Here is a 25,453-nt window from a genome sequence, read left to right on the forward strand (position 1 = left end):
TTAAATGATGACTCTTTGTTGACTTTCTTATTCAGATCATAAATTGTTTTCCTGATTTCATTGAATTTTCTACTGTATTCTCTTGTATCTTGCTAAGGTTTCTTAAGGTCATTATTTTGAATTTCTTCTCATGCGATTCATAAAGTTTTATTTCTTTAGGGTCAGTTACTGGAGAATTATTGTGGTTTTTTTTTTGGCAGCATCATGTTTCCTTGCTTTCTTGTTTCTTGTGTCCATGCATTGGTATCTGCACATATTGTGGTACAATCACCTCTTCTAATTTTACAGATTGGCATATTTTGGGAAAAACTTTTACCTATAGATGGGACCTAGGGTGTCAGTAGGGTAGAGTACATTGCCCTTTGTTCCAGGTGGGTGCAGTAATATAGTCTCTGTGCAGGTTTTTCAGCTGTAATCAATGTCAGCAATGCCTGTGAGTACCTCTGTTGCCTAGTCTGCAGAAGTCTGTGGCAATAGTGGTAGCAAGCTATAGTGTTAGTTTCCTCATTGGCTGCCAAATACTTTTTCTATGTACATTGAGGTAATTGTGTGCTTTCCTTTTTTCAGTTTGTGAATTTTGGTAAATTACACTGTTGCTTTTTGAGCGATAAACTAATCTTGCCTTCCTGAAATAAAAACTCCACTTGGTCATGGTGTATCACAATTTTTATAAATTGTTGGGTTTGATTTGCTTTTTTTTTTAGAGTTTTACATCAGTGTTTTTCAGGAATATTGGTCTTTCATTTTCTTTTCTTGGAATATTTTCTAGTTTTACTTTGTCAGAGTAAATTCTGGCTTCACAGAATTATTTGTAGTCTCTCCTGTCTTAGTTTATTCATGCTGCTATAACAAAATACCACAGACAAGGTGGTAATAAATAACACAAATTTATTTTTCCCAGTTCTGGAGGCTAGGAGTTCAAGAAGCTGGCAAGTTCAATGTCTGGTGAGAACCCATTCTTCATAGGTGGCACCATCTAGGTGTCCTTACATGACAAGAGATGGAAGGACAAAAAGATGTGAACTATTGTGAAGCCCTTTTTTAAGGGCCTTAAATCCATTCATTATGGAGGAGCCCTCAAGCCATTCATGATGGAGGAGACCTCCTGACCCTAATCACTTGCAAAAGTCCCTGTCTGTTAACACTATTACATTGGAGATTAAGTTTCAACATGAATTTTGGAAGGGACACAAACATTCAAACCATAAAAACTTCCTTTCACTTTTTTGAAATAATTTACATAAAATTAGTATTATTCTCTAAATGTTTTGTAGAACTCATCAGTGCATGTGTCTGAGACTGCAGTGTGTATGTGCATGAAGATTTTTAATTAGAAATTCTATTTTTAATAAATATAGGTCCATTCTGGTTACATATTTCTTCTTAAGTGAGGTTTGGTAGTTTGTGTTTTTTCAAGGAAGTTGTTCATTTTATATCAATTGTCAAATTTATTAGCATGAAGTGATTCACTATATTTTTTATATCTTCTTAACATCTGTAGAATTAGATGATGTCAGTGTCACCTCTCCAGTTTCTGATATAGGTAATTTGTGTGTTCCCTTACCATCTCTTTTTCCTTCTTCTTCCTGATGAATTATTTTCTTTATTATTTTTTAAATTTCATTGGTTTCTGCTTTGATCCTTATTATCTTTTTCTTCTACTCTTGTGGTTTATTTTGTTCTTCTTTGTCTAGGTTCCTAAGATGGAACCTGATATCATCGATTTGAGACCTTTCTTCTTTTTTAATATTGGCATTTAATGTTATAAATTTCCCTGTTACCATTATTTTGATATATTGTATTTTCATTTGTTTCAAAACACTTTCAAATTTCCCTTTTGATTTCTTATTGGAGCCATGAATTATTCAGGAATTTAATTTAGTTTCCAAATATGTGGGTTTTTTTAGAGGTATTTTTTTTTGTTATTGATTGCCAATTTATTTCCACTCTGGTCAGAGAACATACTTGGTATGACTGAGTCCTTTGGCATTTATTGAAGCTTATTTCTGGTCCAAATATGTCCAATCTTGGTAAATGTTTTGTGTGTACTTGAAAAGAATGCGTGCTCTTCTGTTGTTTGGTATAGTGCTTTATAAGTGTTAGATCAAATTGGTCGATAATGTCATTCATGTCTTCAGTAGCCTTACAAGTTTTCTATTTATTCTATGAATTATTTAGAGAGGGGTTTTGAAATCTCCAAGAAATGATGTGTGGATTTCTTTATTTCTTTCCTCAATTCTGTCACTTTTTGCTTTAGGTATTTTAAAGCTCACATAGGTTTGTCAATATTTAGTATCATTGTGCTCTCCTGATGAAGGTATCTCTTTACCATTATAAGATGACCCTTTTCAAAGAACCTGATGAGGTTTCTTGCTCTGAATTCTACCTTGCTTGACATTAATGTGCCCATTTCAGCTCTGTTTGATTAGTGTCAGAATGGTACATCTTTTTTAAGATTTTATTTTTAATCTATTTGTAACTTTATATATAGTTTTGTTGTTCTTTATAGGTTCTTTATATATAAGACTTGTTGGCAGCACATAGTTTTGTCTCATGTTTTAATCCATTCTGAAAATTTTTGCCATTAATTAGGGTATTCTGACCATTTGCACTTAATGATTATTTTATTAGGTTTAACTCTACCGTCTGGCAATTTATTTTCTATTTGTTCCATCTAGTTTTTTCCATCTTTTCTATCTTTCTGCTTTCTTTTGGATTGAGTGATTCTTTTATTCCACTTTATCTCCTCTGTTGGCTTATTAGCTATATACCTCTTTGACTATTTCCATAGTTATAATGGTTGCTTTAGTGGTTATAGCATACCTCTCTTATCTTATCACTGCCTACCTCAAGCAATAGTATGCTAATTCACTTTTAGTCTCATGACCTCACCAGAGTATACTTCTGTTCTCCTTTCCCAACATTTGTTCTATTGTTGTTGTCCATTCCACTCATGTTATAAACCTCATACTACTTTATTTTTAGTATCAAAGTCAGTTTTCTTTTAAAGATAAATAATAAGAAAACAATTATATATTTACACTTGTGGTTACCATTTCTATTACTCTTCTTTCCTTGGTATAGATTCAGGTTTCTATTGGCTATCATCTTCCTTTTGCCTAAAGGATTTCCTTTGTCATTTCTTATAATGCAGGTCTGCTGGTGATGAAATCTTCCAGCTTTTTTATGTCCAAGAAGGTACTTATTTTGTCTTTATTTTGAAAGATAGTTTTTCCAAGTATGGAATTCCGAGTTGTCTGGGGTTTTTTTTCTTTCATTACTTTGTAATTGTTGCTCCACTGTCTTGTCATCCACATTGTTTCTCTTGAGACATCTGCTGTCATTCTCTTTGTTACTCTATACAGTGAATACAGATAATGTCTTTTTATTTCTGTACACTTTTAATATTTTCTCATGGTTATAGATTTTGATTACCATGGCCCAGACACAGTTTTCTTTATGTTTCATGCATAAAGTTCACTGAGCCTTTTCCTGCTTCTTTGCAGGCATGGTAATTTTTTATTGGATGACACATGTGAATTTTACCTTCTTGGGTGTTGGATGTTTTTTGTATTCCTATAAATACTCTTGAGTTTTGTTCTGGGAAGCAGTTAAGTTACTTGAAAATAGTCTAATTCATGCCAGGTTTTGCTTTAACATTTGTTAGATAGAACCAGAGCAGTGCTCAATTATTGAGTTAGCTCAACAGCTAACTCCCATTCCAGAGGCAGAACCCCGTGTACTCTATTCAATGTCTGTACACCATGAAGTTTTCTGTCTGGCTGATGGGAACCGGCCCTCCGTCTAGTGCCATGTGTGCACCGGGCACTGCTATCTCATCATTTCAGAGGATTCTTTCCTCAGAGTCACATATTAATCCACTGAGGGTTCAAGGGACCCTCTGCAGATCTTTGGATCTTCTTACTATGCAACTCTCTCCTCTCCAGGTCTCTTTCACGCTAACTCTGGCTGCCCTGATCCCCTTGGCCTCTCAGGTTCATATTCTCAACTCTGGGAGTTTTCCAGGCTCTTCCTGGATTCCCCCTCCCTGGATTGTGGCCTGGCAACTCTCTAGAGGCAGTAGCTGGCCAGTCATGGGCCTACTCCATTTGATTCTCATTTTTCAAGAATCACTGTCTTCTGTTGCTGATTTCTAGCACGTTGAAAACTACGGTTTTATACATTTTGACTTTGTGTTTGAGGTTTGAGTGAGGAAGACAATTCAGTCCATGTTTGTCCACCTTGGTCAGAAGCAGAAGTTAATGTCATAGCTTTTTACTTTGAAGACTCAGACAAGTTTTCACAACACATTCCTTCTAGAGAATAAAGTTAGGCTCTGCTATTGGGTGTCCCCAGATGGGAACCCCACTTATTTTTAGGCTTCAGCTCAGACGCTACTTCCTTCAGAAGTCCCTTTCTGGCACACTACCTTCCTCATGTGGCTTATTTGTTCCTCTTGCACCAGATCACTCCGCAGCTTTTGAGTTTGTATATGGCAACAATGAACAAGGTATAATCCTCGCTGTAGATAAACTCATCATATTTGTTTTTCTCCATGGAGTGAAAATGTTTTAAGCTCATATAATGACTATGGTCAGGGAAAAAGCCACACAAATAATTAGGATATGTTGTGACAGTGCACAAATAGAAACACACATAATGTGCTTGAGAACATGATAAATGCCGGTTTTACCTTTCCTTCCCTCACCTGACCAAGCTTAGCGAGACGTGTGGCATCTTCCTCATCTTTGCTCTTCAGTGCCAGGTATGGAATAGGTCCATTATGGACAGGTGCCTTATTGAACTGAGCAGAGCCACGAATGTCAGGCTGGGAGTGTGGTCGCTGGAGTCAGGCCTTGGTTTACATCCTGGTTCTGCTTCTTAACCACTCTGTGCTTCGACAGGAGAGCAGGAGGTCCTACTTAGTTTTGGACGTGCTAAGTTTGGGATGCCTGCTAGAGATCTGGGGGAAGCATGGTGAAGAAAGCTGAATGTGCAAGCCTGGAGTTCAGGAGGGAGGTGGTGTCTGGAGATGGAAATCTCGAGCCAGTAGCAGTTGGTTCTTAGTGTCATGGGACACAGGAGGTCATATAGGAAGCAAATGTGGACAGAGAGTGAAGGGGTTTGAGGATTGGGTCCTGGGCACATCCACCTCTGGAGGTAGGGGAGATGATGAAGAGCCAGCAAAGTAAACTGAGACATAATCATTGAGGCAGGAGGATAGCAGGCTAGGGCAGAGACCTGCAAGGAGAGAGAAGAGAGCCTTTCACAAAGAAGGGAGTGACCGATGGTGTCCATGCTTCTGTGTGCTTGAGTACAGAGTCTGGGATTCTCCTGAGCATCCTTTGCTCCACTGGGATGGAAGATGGGACCTGATGAGACCGGGGCTAGGGGAATGTCCTGAGCCCCACACGTTTGTGTCTGTGTGCAGGGAGCGTGGAAGGCAGTTCCTGCTTGGTGAGGTGGAGCTGAGAGCGGTGCCACTTAGCAGCTATCTGTGCCACTCTGGTATCCGGAGAGAAGGAGCCGGCATTTGCCCATCCTTCCTCCTAAGCCCTGTCAGTTGTGATTGGAACGATGCCCCCGCCCACCACATTTGCTGGAGTTGGACTAGAGCTGGTAATATCAGGGTTTTACTTTTTAGTTTAATTTCTTGCACAATGCATGGATGTTTATTGAGTTTTGCCAATAAAGAGTTCCATAGGGTATTACTGAGCAGGACTGGTCTGAAGATAAATGAAAGTTGTGTACTTGGAAAGACAATGCTGTATTATTTTCAAACCCCCTTGAGAAAAAGGCCTTTTGCACTGGGTGAGCTCTGGATCAGGTCCAATACAGACAGCCTTGCAAAAGTGGTGTTTCAGGGAACACAAGATGGGTCAAATGATGACAGTTTGGGGGGAATGAGTCTTTGAAGAGCTCTAGCCCTGTTCTTTTCCCTCGGTGGCTGCCAGGCAGCTGGTCTTCACTACAAATGCAGACTGTCACATGTCAAGACTACTGCAGAGTTGAAGAATGGGGCACAGGACTGGAAAAGGTGAAACATTCTTCTCAAAATTCCACCAATTTTTCTGGAATAAACATTCCTTGTTTTGCTGTAAACATGTGGTTAATTTCAAGAATTGTGAAAAAATTGACTGCAATCTTTTTTTGCCAGTTTTCTCTTTGCTTTTACAAAGGAGAGATTTTTTTTTTGTCATTTTCTGTGATGTTACCTAACAATGTTCTTTCTAAGCAATGACTTCTTTTTTTATAAGGAAACTATATAAAAAATAAAATACAGTAACCAAAATTAAGTAAAATGATCAATTCTTGGCTTTTATTTGCCAATTTATTTTAATATATATTTACAAAATTGGACACATACACATATATATTTTGGCATATAATATGCATACTTTCTGTCATTTGCTTTCCTTAGCAATATATAGTGACTATCTTTTGTCATTCCGTAACATATACGCCACCATTTTTAATAGGTACACAATATTCAGATGGAACAGATGCATCGTAATTTAACAGGCATCCTCTGACTGGATGTTTACGTTGTGTTCAATTTCTTACTTTTATGAAAAAGTCCGGGATGAACATCCTTTCATGTACTTTTTATGTGTTTGTCCCAATCATTTTAGGAGACAGACTCCTAGAAGTGGGATTTCCAGATCAAAGGTTAGGATGAGAAAGTAAGCGTGTTTGGGGGCATTTGGGGAGGGTGATGTCTGTCACACAATCTAGACTGAAAGCTCTCCGTCCGTCCCTGCACCTGTTTCTCAGCTTCTACCTCCTGCTCAGTGCTAGGCAGCCTGCTCTGGGAAGGCATGCTCATTTAGATTAATTCAATCAGTGGGTAGAAGGGTCACTCAAATCCATGAAAAGTCCTCATTTTAAGCTATGTCTTTTGGAAATTTCCTCTTTTGGCTTTTAAGTAGCAAAACCTGGTAACCTTCTGATACCTTGGTGAAGATCAGTCAGATCTGTAAGTTTTTGTTGTGGTCCTACTGTGTATCCTTGCTGTGTTCATAGAGGCCGGATTAATAAGTAAATGAGAATGACTTGCTCCTAGCACAGATTTCACACAGAGTGAGTTTTCATTTATGTCTAGAAATCTGCAAAGAAGGGAACTTTTTCTCGGTTAAGAGCAAATACGATTGAAAGTATGTGATGATAAGCCTGAGACATTTGCAATGGGCTTAAGGACTTGGTTCATCAAAAGCTGAAAAGATTAAACCACGTTCAGTATAGTTTTATGTTTAAGCATACCATAGTTCTCTGAAAATGGCAGTTCCTTTTCCTGTATTAGTCCCTTAGCATTATGAAGGAATCTGTCCCGAGACCTTTGAGACTTCCTGCATTCATGAATGTCACCGTCGCATTCAGTCTCTCTCATAACATGCAGTAAAGGCCAACTGAAAAATGCCTGCAACTCCTCCAGGCTCCTGAGGAGACTATAAATACAAGACTGCAGTCATTTATAAAGCTATTAAAACAAAGTGGGGCCTGAGCCCTTGCTGAAATGATTTTCAGAGTTGTTTTCTCTCTAAAACACATGGCAAACAATCGCATGTTAGAAATTCAAGACTTGGCTGAGTTCCACTTTTTGTATCTTACTTTATCCCAAACTTCTGTGAAACGACCATGTTGTTCAACTGACTTTCTTGCTTTCTATTCCCGCCTCCACACTAGGAGTTGACTTCCTTTTAGGTACCATGTTTCTTAAGAAATAAAACCTGCCTTCATCTATGGAAGTGATCATATTGGATAACAACTTGAGCCCCCAGGAATTAAATCCCGGCCCAAAAAAACTGCAAAACCACAGACTGCAAAACTGCAACCTACATCGCATGTAGATACTCTGGAGTTACTTGCAGGCAGCAGCATCTGCAGTGGCAGGGCAGGTGGGGACTGTGCTGTTCGGAAAGCTGAATTAACTAGCACCCACATTTCCTAGTGCACTAAGGAATGACACTCTGCCTGCGAAAGAGCTAAACCCCATCTCTGCTCCTAAGTAAATATAAACATTCCATTCCCTAATACCTTCCTCTCATGCTGTTAACTTCACTCAGCTGATTCCAGACACACATAGAACACAAGGGCTGGCCTAGCAGACCTGGAGTCAGCCCACCGTTAAGTTCACGCAACAGTATTCACCAATGATCTGCCATCTCCACACCCTGCTAGGACATGGGCGGGTGGGGGAAAGGCTGTCACTTAAAGTCTCTGCAGGAGACAGATGGTAAACAAACTGAAAAGATATCAGTTGGTTGGGGGGAATTAAGATAAGTGGAGTGGTGGTGATTGAAGGCTCAGAGGGTTTCTGAGGACCTGGGTCCAACCCTGGATGGTCCTGGCAAGGCTGTGCGGTAGGCAGAGGAAGGAGATGACATGGAGACCCTAGCGTGGGATATCTAGAAACTGAAGGAAGAGCCATGTGGCTGGGGGGACAGTGGGCAGGGAGAAAGTGCAGGGACCATGTGGAGCTGGGTGGGGGCAGTGGCCACCATGGGGAAAGTCACTGTGTCATTTTTGGTCCAAACTCAGACGTTTTTGAAAGAAAAATGTAGGTGCTATTAGTAATCATCTGGGACAGCAGGTGTCAGCCGGGACTGTACCTGGAAACCCATGAGTAGGGGGCTTAGCGGACAGAGATGGTGACATCACCTTACCCCTGTGTTGCCCACTGTTCCACTGGAAAGTGCCGCAAGCTGGCGAGCGTGTGTCCTCTCAGTTCTAGCCACCATCACCCTGGTCTGGAGTCCTTCCTCTGGCAGGTGGGCGGCTCCATTGACAAGCCAGCCCTCCGCTAAGACCTGTCTCCTTTGTTCCCTTCTCTCCTCTTGCCCTGGATGGGGCTTTTAGGAACACTGCCACGGAAATGCAAGAAGGAGCTCCTGGCCGTGAAGCTAAGGAACCGGCCAAGCAAACAGGAACTAGAAGACCGGAACATTTTCCCCAGAAGGACTGATGAAGAAAGACAGGAGATCCGGCAGCAGATCGAGATGAAGCTTTCCAAGTAAGTGGCAGCTTGCGGGCACAGCCGGGCCTGTGCTCTGGCCTTGCAGGCGGAGCCCCTCTGAGATCCCACATCCTGGGTGTGCCAGGCCGGGACGCACAACCCACCGTCTGCAGCAGGTCTCTTGACCCCGCCACCGTTGACGTTTGGGGCCGTGTGGAGGCCCTTTCCTGTGGGGGCTGTCCCGTGCATGCTCAGATGTTTAGCGGCATTCTCGGCCTCTACACACTACACCTCCCGTGACAATCAAAACTGTCCCTGGACATCATCAAATGCCTCCTGGAGGGTGAATTGCTCCACTGGCCTGTAGCAGCCAGGCAAGGACTGGGCCAAACTGATGAGGACATGGCTTGTCAGTGTTAGAGACAGGGGCAGTCTCTGTTCACCTCTATCTGATCATTTTCCTGCAAGAAGGTGGATCCAGTGTTGCCAGATCTTCTAAATTTGTCAAGTAAAGCTACCCCCCCACCCACATACACACAGTTATGCAGTCACGTGTCACTTAATGACAGGATACATTCTGAGAAATGCGTCATTAGGAGATTTTGTTGTTGTGGGAACATCACAGAGCGCACTACACAAACCCAGAGGGCGCGGTCTGCAGCACGCCTGGCTCCACGCTGTAGCTGATGGCTCCGAGGCTACAAACCCGTACAGCACATGACTCTACCATATACTGTAGGCAATTCTAGCACGTTATGGTATAGAAACATTTCTCAACATAGAAAAGGTACAGTAAAAATATGACATACAAAATACAAAATGTCACCTCTGTATAGAGCACTTACCATGAATGGAGCTTGCAGGCCTGGAAGTTGCTCTGGGTGAGTCCCGAGTGAGCAGTGAGTGAACGGGAAGGCTAGCACGCGACCGTGCACCTCCGCAGACTTCAGAATCACTGCACACTTAGGCTACGCTAAATTTACATAAACTTTTTTTTTCTTTAATAGTAACTTTTTACTGGATAAACTTTAACTTTCGGACTCTTATAATAACACTTAGCACAAAACACAAATTATACAGCTGTATAAAAGTAATTTCTCTTTACCCTTATTCTACAAGCTTTTTATATTTTTCAATTTTTTAACTTTTTAAATGTTTTATTAAAAATTAAAACACAAATGCCGCATTAGCCTAGGCCTGCACAGGGTCAGAACCATCAATCACTGTCATCTTCCTCCTCCACAGCTTGTCCCACTGGAAGATCTTCAGGGGCAGTAACATGCGTAGAGCTGTCATCTCCTATGAGAACAGTGCCTTCTGGATTCCTTCTGAGGGACCTGCTGGAGGCTGCTTTACAGTTAACTTTTTTTTAATAAGTAGGAGTACACTCTAAAATAATCATTAAAATTATAGTGACTACATACAGCAGTAACATAGTCCTTTCATATCATGATCACGTGTGATGTACTGCACGGTTACACGCACTAGACTTTGAGAGGCCTTGGCAGCACAGTAGGTTTTTTCACACCAGCATCGCCACACACGTTAGGAACGCCTTACACCACGATGTCATATGACAGCAACAATGTCACGAGGCATAAGGAATTTTACAGCTCCATTTTCATCTTCTGGGACAACTATCTTATATGTGTCGTATATGTCGTGTATCATTGAAATGTCATGAGGTGCATGTCTGTGCATATATACACATACAGGTATATCCACATACGCATCATTTTCTGGACAATATGTGCACCAAGTCCACCCATCTGCCGTCTGGCTGTGACCCAGAGCCACGGGTGGGCACCTTCTGTGTTGCACCCCCATAAGTTTCCCTGGGTGGTCCCTGCTGTCTGCTGGGCTGGAGTTGGACTGTCTCATGGGGCAGGACAGAGTGGAGCTGCTGCGTCTTGCTGGTTGAGGTCTGAAGGGATCCAGTCATGCCCCTGAGACAGAATGGGGGCCTTCTTTTGGAAGGCAAGGCTACCATGAGCCGGGTGGAGCTGACTTGTGTGGCTTTCCAGGATCGGGCACCTCCCTAGTTGCTTTCCACATTCCAGAGCCACTGGAGTTCAGAACCCCTCGGAGCTTGCTGCGTACCCCAGTTTGCGCCCACGGACACTGCCCAAAGGTGCCAAGAGCCACTGAGCAGGCATCGGTGGGCTTTCAGAGGAAAGTCATGCCATTCTGGCAGGGTGGGCCTCTGTTTCCCCTTTCACCAGGCCAGATGGCAGGCTAACGTGTCTCGTGTGCGGTAGGAGAGGAAATTCTGATAAAGCTCAGGTGCACCGTCCCAGGAGCCACAGTCCACATCTCCTGCCCACCCTGTGAGGTGTGAGTCAGTCTGTGTAGGGCTGGGCTTGGTAGACAGTGCCCTGGACAGCCCCTAGTCCGCTCCTTCCCTCTTTAAACCTCAAAAGCCAACCCTTCCCTGGAGGGAGAGACAGTGCCCCAGGGGTGAGGGGAACCAGCTCCCGGAGCGCCAGTGCCTCTGTTGGTTTGCTCTGCACCCTTGCTGTCCCCAGGCCCCTGAGTCACTGGAGACCCTGGGAAAATGCAGGTTCTGATGCTGCAGGTGCAGGGAGGCCTGAGAATCTGCATTTCTAGCAAGCTTCTAGGGCTGCCGACACTGCTCGCTGCTGGGCTGCAGGCCACACTTTGAGAAGCGAGGGTCTACAGCAGGGTCCCCAGCCAGGGAACCATTGATGTTTGGGCCCAGATCGTTCTCCGTGGAGGGGCCGTCCCGTGTGTGTAGTGTGTTAGCAGCATTCCTCCCGCCTTCCACTAGATACTAGTAGTACACCCTCCGCTTCTGACCACCAAACGTGTCCCAGACACCGCCCAACGTCCCCTGAGGTCAGAGACAACAGAACGCTCCCCGGGTGAGAATCCATGATCTGAATGTTGGACTCCCGCTCTGGGCAGATTTTCCTCTGAGCAGTGGGGCTTTTCATTTCGAGGAAGGGTTGTTTCTGGTCTCCGCTGGGGAGCTTGAGCCCCAGTGTTCCCAACTCCCACCAAAATCCTTACTTGAGTGTTTTCACGGTGGAGGGCCGTGAACGTAAGCAGGTGAGGCCGGCCCGGGGTGGGGCTGTGGATAGAGCACGAGGTCCTACCCTTCCAGGTGTTACAGAGTTGTGCTTGGGGCGCAGGTGCAGGTTGCATTTCTACCAGCGGTTGGGACAGCCCTGCCGCTCGGCCTCTGCATCGTGGTGTCGTCATCCCAGGCTTTCATTTCTGCAAGTCTCAGTGATGGGACGTGTGTTCCTAAGGCTTGGTTTCCTGTTTCTCTGATTTCTGGTGAGGTTGAGCATTATTTTCAGCGTTTATCAGCTTTTTGGTTTCTTCTTTATGTACTTTGCCTGAAGTTTTCTTTATCTTAATGATTTTTAGGAGTTTACTTTTGAAGATGTAGCTTCTAATCCTTCCCCATTTTGAGTTACATGATTCTTCTCTCTGGGGCTTGTATTTTCAGTTTTAAAATACTTTTCTTTGAGGCACAAAAGTTTTGATTTTTAAGGCTGTCAGATTGCTGATCATAAACTTGAGGAGCTCACAGCCTTTTTCTGTGAGGACCAAGTTGTCAGTACTTTGAGGTTTGTGAGCCAGGCTGTCCCCGCCACCCCTACTCAGTTCAGGCGCTGTAGTGATGAAGTAGCTGTAGACAATCTGAGGATGAAGGGGCATGGCTGTGTGTCAATAAAACTTTATTTACAAAAATAGCCAGCGGTCCATTGGGTCCAGCTGGCACTTTGCTGACCCCTGATGTGCTTTATGGTTCGCACTATTTGTACCGTGTTTAAAAATCCTCCCCAGCCTAGAGGTCATCAGAATTTTATTCACTTCTGTTATTTGCGGTTGCCTTTACCTGTACCAGTTAATAATGGTTTTCTATTTGATAGTCAAACCAAGTTCTTTCAAATTAAAATACTAAGTGAATTGATCTAAACAACAAAAAAAAAGGTAAGTAATGGAAGATAGTACATGTGGTTCAAAAAACAACAAAAATTATGGTGGGGCTTGGAATGAGAGATGCCTGGGGTCCCCACCGCCGACTGTGAAGGTTGAGAGGAAGTTGGGAGAAGGTTGGGCTGCCGGGGATACCCCAAACGCCCCCCTATGTAAGAAGTACCAAAAACATGGGCCCTGTGGCTTGTTTTTACTCCATTACTTACTGAATCTGGAACTAATTTTAAACCTTGGACTGGAATGTAGTAGCTCCCTGCTATTTGTCACCATGTTTAAAAACCTGGAATTAGACACAGAGAAAACAGCAGCGGAGTAGCAGCATCCCAGGAGGTCAGACATGGCTTCCTGGAGGCGCCATTTGTTTTCCCTACAGCAGTGGCTTAATTGGTCTCCCTTTGTCTCTGCTCTGCCTCCTTTCAGAGATTCCTCCACCGTCTCTTGCTAAGTAATTCAGCCTCTGGTTGCCATGGCAACGTGCCATCTACTGTATCCCAAAGAACATTTGCGATTTCCTTTTTTTAATTTCCAGAACCTTCATATTTTATCTTCTGAGTGTTCCTGGGCCTTTTCCTGGTGAAGCAGTCACTGCTCCCCACGGCTACCCCAGAACACATCCGTGTGCTTGGTCTGGGACCCCCAGGAAAGTCAGGGTCCCATTTGAAAGAGTGAAGCTCTATGCTGATTTTCACCCCTCTCTGTGTAGGAGCTCAGCTTACCTTTAAAACCTGTGTGGATGCATCAGCAGAGTATGAGAGGCCCGCAGCTCCTGCACGGTAGGTGTGCACTGGAAATTATGCACAGAGGCACGGGCTGTTTTGCCTCCATCCTGTCTACAGCCACCATCTAAGGAGAGCAGTGGGAAGCACCTGCTGCCGGCTTTCAGCATAGGTGCCGGCGATGTGCTTGACGTCTGCCTTACTTTCTTTCATTTATCTAGTCTTCACAGTAACCCAGTAAAGCAGGTGGTACTATCATCTCCATTTTACAGATGAGAAAATTAAGCCTTGGTGAGAAGGTAACTGGCCCAGGGCCACGTAGCTTGCAGAAGCTGCCGTGCAGTGAGATAGGCCATTTGTTAGAGCCCTAGCCCTGGGCCTGGGAGAAGCATTCTAGACACGAAAGCACTGTGGCTCCTTGTTTATCTTAGGCATGGCTTTGAATTTTCTTATATTGGTTTGGCTTTGATCAGGGTATCAGCTGGCAACTGGGCAATGCACCAGGTGTCTCGGGCAAAGGACTTCACACTTGCTCTAAAGCAGTGCAGAATGTTGGCCGGGTCCGGTGGCTCATGCCTGTAATCCCAGCACTTTGGGAGGCTGAGGCAGGCAGATCACTTGAGGTCAGGAGTTCGAGACCAGCCTGGCCAATATGGTGAAACCTCGTCTCTACTGAAAATACAAAAATTAGCCAGGCGTGGTGGCAGGTGCCTGTAGTCCAAGCTACTCAGGAGGCTGAGGCAGGAGAATCGCTTGAACCTGGGAGGCAGAGTTTGCAGTGAGCCAAGATCATGCTATTGTACTCCAGCCTGGGCAACAGGGCAAAGACAGGGGGGTTGGGGGTGGTGGCAGTGCAGACTGTCAACACAGCATGGAGCAGTGGGGGGTTGGACATCCTCAGGGGGAACATATAGAAAGAGACACTGCCCAGCAAGGGCTCTGGAACAGTGCAGCAAGCAGGCTAGAGCCCCAGCCGTCTTTGTCTCAGCTGCGTGAGATAGGCCAGCACCAGTGTCTCAGAATCTCTCTCCTTGTTTGTGAAATGGGGATGGTGGCAATACCTGCCTCAGGGCCCTCTGGAAGATTCCACATTGGTCCCTGAAGAAAGTCATAAAAGCACATTCTCAGCAGGGGGTGCTGGGGCCAGAGCTGCTGCTGTCACAGTCAAGGCTGGATGCACTCCTGGGCGAGCTGTCACCTGCACGGGGCAGAGGCCAGCAGCAGGCCTTGTGGCAGGATGAAATGAATGCTGCTGCATGAACAGCGGTCACGATGCTAGTGGGCCAGGGAGTGCAGGAGCATTGCTGTTGATGGGGCTTGAGTGTCATTCCCATTCGTGACTGTTGTGTAATTTTGCCCGAAGAGAGAGGAATAGGGTAGGCACCTCCTAAGTCATGCACAAACTGTCATTCCCCTTGGGGCGTTCTTTGCTCCCAGGAACGTGTGTGAGAAGCTGATTAATGCTCAGTAGCATCTTTCAGGAGGGGGCACTTAGCATGTTCATACAGCAGTTAGCGGATCTCTGAGTGGCTTCTCTGCACGTTTTGTCCTGTGGCCTCCAGAACACGCTGCACCCTCAGGTGTCCTCCCGGGCTGTGGCCTCCCACTCCTGCTCTGTCTGCAGGAGCAGGACACAGCGTGCAGCGAGTTTAGACGCTCCCTCCTCTAGATGTGCTTTAGGCAAGGCAGGCCTATTTTTGGTCCTGGAGACAGAACGCACAGAAATGTGGAGACAGACAGTGTCCCCGCAGAGGCTGTGGTTTGGGCTGCAAGGCGGAAACCGTGCCTGGCCAGCCAGGGGACCAGCCTGTCTCAATGGGGCCTTCGTTCTGCTGTGAGCTTTTACCTGAAACTGCATGGACGGAAATTTTCACTTCCACAGAAATGGTGTTTGGTAAATTTCAGACACGTGGAAGCGGGGGAGGAATCAGCTTCCAATGCCAGCCTTCATAATGACACCACTAATAGCATCTGAGAGGGTCTGCCGTGACGCTGGGCAGGTGCAGTGCTGATTGCCTGTGATGCCGAGCAGGGACCATCATCCCTGCTCTGCAGATGAGGAGACTGGGCAGAGAGGCTAAGCAGTGTCCCTGGGTCTCACAGTTCATGAATGGCCAGGCTGTGGGCTCCAGGGCCCTCGCTCCCAGCCACTGAGCCTTGCTGCCTGAGGCCAAGCATCCGGCTCACACCTTGTGGACAGGGCCGGGAAGCTGATGATACACTATAGCTAAAGGCCAGTTTCCGGTGAATGTTTGTGTTAATGAGGTGGTTATGGTCCACGTTCACTGGGCTGAGTCCTTTGCCCGCTGATGTCTGCAACCCTGAAGTTCTGTGCTCGGTATGGTGTGGGTGCTGCACACAGGCTCCTTCATGGATCTTACTACCTTCCCCAAGACCCTCACTGAGGAGCGAACACACCTGACATGGGTCACTCCCGGAGCAGGGCTGAGCTGCCGCAAGCGCTGACGGTTTCTCTTGTCACAGTTATCATTGCCGCCCTGAAAAGGCTGCAAAGTTTGCCTTCTGCCTCAGGGTTAATCCATGGCTGCTGGGATGGAAGGTAGCATTTGAAATTACCTACAGGGGGAGGCTGCACCTGCAGAACGGGCCCAGTTGATCCTGTCACATCCAATGTCATTGCCCATCTCTTGGGGTGCTTACCCCCCAATTACAGAGATTTCGAATTCATGTAGCGTGCACGTGCTAGGCGCTGGGGTGCAGAGATGAAAAGATGCACTCACAGGTGATAAATTATTGTGTCTGGTGAAAGATGTACAGAGATAGATGTGTGGACCAGCTTCAGGAGGGAGGGTGAGGGTGTCCCAGGCAGACCAGCCAGTGAGAGCTCGAAGGTGGGAAGCAGCACCGCCTTCCCAGGACTACCCTGGGGGCTGAGAAGGTTCAGGGCTGGGTGAGGGTGGCAGGGCAGAGGGAGAAGACTGGAGGGGCCATGGGTCCAGGTGGTGGAGGCTCCTGTGCTGCCCGCTATGGGTTCCCAATCCACACAGACCTCCTCTTGTCATTCTGGGCTCAGCTCAGATGTCACCTTCCTGACCATCTCCCAGTGGCACAGCCTCGCCATTACCCTGTGTCACATCGTCCCCTGCTGTGTTTTTAGCCACTTCCACAGCTGCTGAAAGTGCCGTTTACTCATCTGTTCTGTTCGCCTCTTCAGGGTGTGCCCACTGGCGTGGCGGGGCCCTGCTCTGCTCTTCTGTGAGGGCCTTGCCCACCAAGGAGGCGCTGGCTAAGCTGGTGGGAAATGGCAGATGAGGAGGCCTGGCTCTCCCGAGAAGCAGCCAGGGCTCCCTGGGGGTCAGGAGCGAGGGCATGTCTGGGAAACGCCCCTCTGCTGCAGTGCAGGGCTGGTTTGGGAGAGCAAGGCTAGAGCTGGGTGGGGAGACAAGGGTTTCTCACATGCTACAGGCCCAGGAGCCAGCACCATCCTGGGGACGCGGGGCTGCAGAGAGGACGGCAGAGCTGGTGAGGATGAACGGCAGGCCTGTGGCTGAGGGAGGAGGGCCTGCCAGCCTAGGGGTGGGTGGATCTGCAATGGTGGAGAGGGAATCCAGGAAGAAGGCAGGCAGACACAGGGGAAAGGTTATATGTCCAAAGGGTCCCTATGCCGTCAGGTGCCTGGGGTTTTTGGCAGTGCTTCCATCCACTTGTGCAGGTGAGACTGCCCAAGGAGCACAGGGACTGGAACGGGAGACTGCCCGGTCCATGCTGGACTTGCTGATCTCAGCTGAGGTCGAGGGTATTCAGAGCCCGTCGTGGTGTTTTATACGGTCCTGTACTTCCTGTTATCCTTGGTCCATTTTCTTCTACACTATCTTCCCTCCAGTTTCACACACTTGGACAGAAGGGAGTGGTTGTTTTTCACTGACCGCCAGGAACCACAACAGGCTTCTGTGTGTTCCAGTGAAATAAGCCCTATCTGTCTCTCGGGAATGGAGCAGTGTTAAGCTTTTTTTAAAAGCACAATCTGAAGACACTGGGGTCTGGAAACCCATTTTTTCTTGTTCTGAAGCCTGTGGGGCCTCCGCGGTTGGGCCTTGCTGAATAATTTGGGGTTTTAGGTTGGGTACATCAAGGGTAAAGGGCTTCTGTTTGGATCAAACAGGAGGTGGGGGGAGGGTGAGATTCCCTCATATTGCTGAGAAGGGAGTTGGGGGCTGAGTTCCCCGACTTCAGAGGTGAGACATCTCACAAGCCAGACCTTGGGACTGTCCCTGTGGACCCAGGCTGGACTGGGAAGTTCAGGGAACCCTCGACTCGAAGAGGGTTCTTGTTAATGAACAGTCTTCAAGGAGCAAAGCCCAGACTGTTCTCCCAGTGTGGTGTACACATGAGGAGGGACCTCATCGGGGGGAATTTGGCTTCCTGATATTCAAAAGCACATTTGTCTGCTCAGTCTCTGAAATTGCCAGTGGGACAATTTCCAAAGGGATCACCAGAAAGAAGGTAAATGCAGAGACGAACAAGGAACTCATCATACCCAGGATCGTTCTTGATCAAAATGCCAACAGCTGGGCATCTTCAGCCAAAAGAAATGCAGTTGTGGCAGGAAAGACTCAGCTGTACTTGGGGTTCTGGTTTTTTTTTTTTTGTTTTTTTTTTTGAGATGGACTCTCACTCTGTCTCCAGGCTGGAGTGCAGTGGCGTGATCTCGGCTCACTGTAACCTCTGCCTTCTGGGTTCAAGCGATTCTCCTGCCTCAGCCTCCCAATTAGCTGGGATTACAGGTGTGCACCACCATGCCCAGCTAACTTTTGTATTTTTAGTAGAAACAGTGTTTCACCATGTTGGCCAGGATGGTCTTGATCTCTTGACCTCATGATCCGCCTGCCTTGGCCTCCCAAAGTGCTGGGATTGCAGGCGTAAGCCACCACGCCTGGCTTGGGTTTCCTGTTTTATAGTGAACCCCAAGGTTGCAAAACAGGCGATGAGGCTTGTGATCATTTATCTTTATGGATCATGGGTCTGCGAACTGGATGAGAGTTTTAAGCATGTCAGGTGTGCAAACATCTCCTATGGTTGTGGGAATTTCTCCTTGCATAGCCACCATTGTCTAGAGCAGCAGTCCCCATCCATTTTTGTACCAGGAACCAGTTTCATGGAAGACAGTTTTTCCATGGACCAGGGAGGAGGATGGTTTTGGGATGATTCAAGCACATTACCTTTATTGTACAGTTTATCTCTATTATTATTACATTGTAATATATAATGAAGTTATTATACAACTCACTGTAATATAGAATCAGTGGGAGCCCTGAGCTTGTTTTCCTGCAACTAGATGGTCCCATCTGGAGGTGATGGGAAACAGGGATGGATCATCAGGCATTAGATTCTCATAAGAAGTGTGCAACCCAGATCCCTCATATGCGTAGTTCACAATCTGCTGAGAATCGAATGCTGCTGCTGATCTGACAGGAGGTGGAGCTAAGGCAGTAATGCTTGCTCGCCACTACTCACCTCCTGCTGTGTGGCCAGGTTCCTAATAGGCTAGGTTGCCCCAGATGGGTACTGGGGTTGGGACCCCTGTTCTAGAGCAGTCTGCACGCTGGGGACTCTGGGTCCATGACAGTATTTCCTTCCTGTGTGATAGGCCTCACAGCCTCCACTTTGCATGTGAGGAAATGGAGGCTCAGAATTGTTAGTAGCCAGTGAGTAGCTGAGTGAGGACATGAACCTGAGTCTTTCCAGCTCAAAGTCCTTTTCCTTAGCCTATTTCACAACTCCCTGGAACTCATCCATGGCCATCCTCTGGTTCAAATTATCCTCCACCTAGGCAGTAGACTTTCCTTTAAGGAAGGAAGAAACTTCTTCAATGTTTTATCCTCAGTGCCTGGTACACAGTAGGCTCCCAGCTAATTACTGTTGAATGGATGGTTGGTTAGATGGATAGATGGATGATTGTATGATTGGATAGGTGGGTGGTTGGGTAGTTAGATGGATGGCCATCTGGATGGTGGGATGATTGAACAGGTTAATGGCTGCTGGGGTAATTGCATTATAAGATGCATGAGTATAGGTAGATGGAGAGACAGCTGGATGAATAGGTAGATGGGTGGATAAGTGGTGGGATGTTGTGTAGTTAGATGGATGAGGAGGTGAATGGAGACATTGTTGAACTAAATGGCATCCTATTCACTGTGCTTGATGTACCCTAATATCTGTCCATCCATCCATGCAACTGTCTCAGCACGCACAGTGGGTTAGATGGAATTTCCTAAGAGTTTATTTCAATAAAATAAGAGTTTAGTTCAGTACAATAAGTGTTTATTGAATGAATATCTCTCTTTGCATAGTGGGCTCTTTGGATACATTTAAGCAATGATTCCATTTACTACATTGATTATAACCAACCTATTCAGAAGTGTATTTGTGAATAGTGTGAGCCCTCAGGACCTCAGTGGCCATTGCCAATTTTGGAGACTGGTTCTGTGCTGTCTCCAGGCCAGGGTCTGCATACGCTTCTGGCGACACCACTGCCGTCTGGCTGCTGACCAGCCTGGGCTATTTCTGAGCTGCAGGTCCTTAGGCCCTCAGGTGAGGATACTCCAGAAGCCTCCACTTCACCCTCACTGGAAGGAAGTCTCTGGTGGAAACAAGCTACTCCTAAAGCTTTCTGAGCACTTGTCAGGAGGAATAGGAGAGAAAGCTTTATCGGAATGAGTAAGACCAATAGTATTAACCCATGACTCGCCACAGGAGGCGGGTGGGGGATGGTGTCTTCACAGCTCATTCAACAGAGTAGAAGTCACAGACCCAAATGCTCCATAAGTGACCTGGGCCAGGCAGGGCTGTGGCATCCTGGGGAGTGTGCACTCTTGCTCAAGAGGGCAGCTGTCACTCAGATCCTGTGGGCCATCACCCCTGGCCACATGTCAGGCCATTGTGGCCAGAATTTCCAAGAGAAACCGAAGATTTGATTTTTTTGGTGAAATAGCCTTCATGTAAATGTTGAGAGCCTCTTCCTATTTTTAAAAGCAATGTGTGCACCCAGAAAACATATTTGTGGACCAGATTTGGCCCGGGACCACCCACTGGCCACCTCTGATGTGAAGTCACTTATGCACTTGTATTGGGAGAAGTACATGTTTCTTTACACTGAGGTTAAGGGGATTTTCAACTCTTGAGTTAGCAGGGAAAATAAATGGGTCATCCTGTAAAGTGACTGTCAGCAGCGGAAGCCTCCAGGGCTACCACTGTCAGTATCCTAGGGAGCCTCAGCGAACCTGTCTCCTTCCTCGCATATGTGAGGGGGCCCTTGTGTGCGGCCCTCTCAGCTCCACCCTTGCTCTAAGGAAGCCGCACAGTGCACCGCTGAGAAGTCAGGATGGACAGAATGCCTCGGTTCCCAGCCAGCTCTGCAGTTTTCCAGCATGTGGGCATGGGGAAGTCACCTCCTGACATGCGCCTTACTTTCCTCCTCTGTAAAAGGGATGTGACTACAACAGAGCCTGTCTTTTGGGGCCACGGGAAGGATGCAATGAGCCGTCACACGTAGAATGCCTGGAATCATGCCTGGCAGAGAGGAAGCTCTCCAGGAAGAAAAGGAAGAAATCTGAGTTCCATGAGGATAGGGAATTTGTCTCTTTCAGTTTTAACAGCTTTGTTGAGACATAATTCACACACCACATGCTTCACGCACTTTAAGTGTCCAATTCAGGGCTTCCAACATACTCATAGAGTTGTATTTCCATCAGCACAATCGATTTTAAGATATTTTCCTCACTCCAAAAAGAAGCCTCTCCCTCTCAGCTGTATCTCCAGTCCCTAGAATGGTACTGAGTCCTGTGGGTACTCGGTGATTTTGCAGCTACTGCTGCAGGGACGAAGGGGAAACTGCATGGGAAGGCATCTCCTAAACATGACCAGTTATTGGTGTCACCATTCCCTTTGCTTCACCAACTTGATCTTCTTCAGATCCTTTTCTTCTGCTTCGGCATCTTTTCATTGTCATCATTTTATCTTCATCACTATCATCACCTTCACTGCTTGTTTATCATCATCTTTGTCATTTTCATCTTTTTCTTCCTCATTATCTTTCCATCATCTTTAGCAACAACTTTGTCAACATTTTTATCCTCATCATCATTTTCATCATTTCCATAATCACGAATTTGCCCCATCTTTGCTCCCTAGGAGACACTCGGGGAACTTGGGCTCTCAATCCCCTTGACGTCTGGGGGCTTGGCCTATGAAGGGAATGAAGCCCACATCTAAAGCAGGTTCCGGAGCCTCTGCTGAGTCTGATCGTGCCTGGAGTGAAGAGGACTCTTGAGAATGGTGGGGGCTGGGCGCAGTGGCTCATTCCCGCAATCCCAGAACTTTGGGAAGCCGAGGCAGGAGAATCGCTTGAGTCCAGGATCACTTGCTGTGTTGCCCAGGCTGGTCACCAGACCTGGGTGCCCACAGGCAGATAAGAGGAAGGTGCCTGAGTCACCAACTGCCCACGGGACTGAGGCACCTCCCTCTTATCTTCCTGCTATTTTCCAGATCAGCCTGGGCAACACAGCCAGACTCCATCTCTACAAAAAATAGAAATTTAAAAACAGCTAGGCATGGTGGTGCACACCTGTGATCTCAGCTACTTGGGAGGCTCAGGAGGGAGAGAGGATGGCTTGAGCCTAGGAGTTAGAGGCTGCAGTGAACTATGATGGTGCCATTGCACTCCAGCCCGGGCAACAGATTGAGACCCTGTCGTTAAAAAAAAAAAAAAAAAGAAAACAAAATGGTGGGAAGGTGAGTCTGAGCCGGGACCCTGCAGATCCCACAGGTCCAGCTCAGGTTGCCACCCCCGTGTGTGGCCTGGTTGGGCCGGTGCTGTCCCAGTACTGGCCACCCGTCAACTGAGGCACCTGGTTGGGCCAGTGCTGTCCCAGTACTGGCCACCCGTCAACTGAGGCACCTGATTGGGCCGGTGCTGTCCCGGTACTGGCCACCCGTCAGCTGAGGCACCTGGCTGGGCCGGTGCTGTCCCGGTACTGGCCACCCATCAACTGAGGCACCTGGTTGGGCCGGTGCTGTACCGGTACTGGCCACACGTCAGCTGAGGCATGCAGGGCTCTGCCATCTATAGCCTTCTTTGGATTCCGAGATCCCAAGAACAGAAGCTGTTGGCATTTAGCAATTTATGATTTTCTTCCTTTTTTTGATGCTGCAGATTTATCCGACTGACTTTCCCAGCCCTCCAGGGGGACCGTTGCTGGGGCTTCCGGTCTCTCTTTGTTTAGAAATCTCAGGGCAAGTGGAGATCAGGTCTGTTCTGCACAGATGCACCTTCCTGAGCTCTTGGCGTGGCACCACCTCCTGCTTCACCACTGTGGTGAGGGGTCTGCCTGTGAACACTGCAGAGCCTCCAAGGTCAAGAAGACCACCAAGATTTATGAGGGCACTTTCAAGGATTTGTTGCAAAAATGCGAAGGAGCTCACGAGGCAGTGCTGTGAGCAGGCTCTGTGTGGTATTGTGGGCAGAAATCAACCTCAGCCCTAAAGGGAGGGGCCTGGTAGTCCTGCAAAGGCCGGGGCAGGCAAGGCCAGCACGGATCAGGCAAAATGGTGGCTATCATGTATGGATCTTGTACGTTCTGCTTTTAGATGGAGGTAGCTAAGCAACAGAACACACAGCTTCCAAATTGGGACAAGTTTAAACTGGCAAATCTCAGCCCCAGAGGATATAAATATGACGCTTCATCGTCTTGGGTGGAAGTCCCCGTGTACAGGGAGGGAAAGCCCATCTGTGTGTGGCATGCAGGGTACAGGGAGTGGGTCCCGAGTCCCATCCTGTGCAGGGGAGAGGCTCAGGCCCCTTCTGTGCAGTGTCAATATGAAGTGGCCCTGTCCCTGCTGAGGGCTCCAGGGAGGGTCAGCTGCTGTTTGTTTTCCTTGGTTGCTTGGGAATCTGTAGAGGATGGTACAGCATGTTTTGTAAGAAAATGCAAAACAACATCAACCCCCATTCAGTGTCAATAAAACATGATTCCCAAACCAGGGAGCAGGTGGTTTGGTGGACTTGGAGGCTGCCTGGCTGAGAGCCATGGGCTGAGTGAGCCCAGGGAAGTCACATGGTGAGTCCAAGCCTTGAAATGGGTGTGTGATGTCTGCCTGCTCAGATGCTTGCAGGGACTAAATACCACACAGTCCTGCTTCACCCAGGATCGGGGCTTAGCGTGTGTGAGTAGTAGTCATGGTAATAAGAGCACAACCATAGCTCACTAACATGTATGAAACCCATGTTATGTATGAGGGGTGGTGTTTGCCTGCATTCATATAAACATAAGACGTAAATGCTATTATTGGATGTTCTTAGCAGCTAAGGAAATGGAGGCCCAGAGAGATTGGGTAAGATGCTCAAAGTCACACAGCTAGTAAGCTAGTGGAGCTGAGATGTGACCCAGGTGGGCCGACTCCAGACCGCACGTTAGAGCCACCCCACTCCCTGGAATAGTTGCACAGGCGGTCAGGACTGGCATGGTTGTTCCAAAATCAACAAGGACGCAGACTCCTCTTACCTTCCTGCTATTTACCCTTATGCCGGTGTTGATCCTCCATGGTCCAGGGTGGCTGCAAAGGCACCAGACATCATATTCAAGTCCCAAAGGGGCATACATCTCAGCTGAGTCAGCTTTTCCAGAGGGCTCCTCCCAGAAGCTCCTCCACACACATCTACCTACTGCTCCTTGGTTGGACCCTCCTCATGTGGCCGTGGTCAGCTGGAAAAGAGACTGCTCTGAATAGGACCAGCATTCAGGCATAAGAAGGGGAGAAGGGAGATGGGGTAGGAAACTCGCGGCTTCTGCTGCTTTAGGTGTTCAAGTTAATTTTGTTACATTAAAGGAAGAAAAGAAGCAACAAATGAAGAGATGGATGAGTGAATGGAAAGCATTCTGTCTGTTAGGTAGCAATGATTTCTAAGTGATTTCTGGAGCAGCCTGGTTTGAGGAGTGCATGTGGATCCCTATGGGCTTGGAGAGCACCGCCGGGGAATTTAAAAATGCCCCATTCCTGACCCTCCCACACTGGGCCAGGGAGGTGAGCAGCTGGCAGGAAGTTGAGGAGGAGGAGGGAAAGAGGAACCCTGAGAGGCGCTGAGAGTGATGTGGACAAACACAGCTACCCCCTCCCCAGCAATCCTACCCTTTCTGCAGCGATCCCACCCCTTCCCCAGCAATCCCACCCCTTCCCCAGCGATCCCACCCCTTCCCCAGCGATCCCACCCCTTCCCCAGCGATCCGCCCCGCAACGATCCCACCCCTTCTCCAGCGATCCCACCCCCTCCGCAGCGATCCCACCCCCTCCGCAGCGATCCCACCCCCTCCGCAGCGATCCCACCCCTTCCGCAGCGATCCCACCCCCTCCGCAGCCATCCCACCCCCTCCGCAGCCATCCCACCCCCTCCCCTGCCATCCCACCCCCTCCCCACAGTGATCCCACCCCCTCCGCAGTGATCCCACCCCCTCCCCAATATTTTAGTTCAGCAACAGATGTTTCCTGAACAGCCTCTGTGTGCCACTCTCCGCACTGGGCCTAGGATGGGGGGAAGAACAAAGCAGATGCGGGGGCTGCCTTCCGAAGCTTCCATTCCACCAGCAGGCGTGGGGGAGGGGAGGTCAGGTGAACATGTGTGTGGCACATGTGGAATATGTGGCTATGGCTAGACACGGGAAGGGCTGCAGTGCAGAGTGACCGTGTTCCACTCAGGTGGCTTCCAGCATCCCCTCCTGGGCTGGTGGGCGCTGGTGCACCTCAGTGCCATTGCTGATGAAGGTCTGGGTCCGGTGGAAATGGTGTGGTCTGCAGATGAGGT

At 47.5% G+C, this 25,453-nt stretch overlaps 1 protein-coding gene across 13 annotated transcripts in view; it reads left to right on the plus strand.

Annotated features, from left to right (window-relative positions):
- The window catches only part of PHACTR3 (phosphatase and actin regulator 3), a 270,203-nt gene that overhangs the window by 219,676 nt on the left and 25,074 nt on the right, over positions 1-25,453 (plus strand). For all 13 annotated transcript variants that reach the window (NM_001199505.1, XM_017027628.2, XM_017027626.3 and 10 more), the window contains one exon: positions 8,857-9,010. In NM_001199505.1, the coding sequence (NP_001186434.1) occupies positions 8,857-9,010 (154 nt within the window). The remainder of the gene's footprint in view (positions 1-8,856; positions 9,011-25,453) is intronic.

Source organism: Homo sapiens, chromosome 20 (assembly GCF_000001405.40).
Source record: "Homo sapiens chromosome 20, GRCh38.p14 Primary Assembly".
Taxonomy (NCBI): domain Eukaryota; kingdom Metazoa; phylum Chordata; class Mammalia; order Primates; family Hominidae; genus Homo; species Homo sapiens.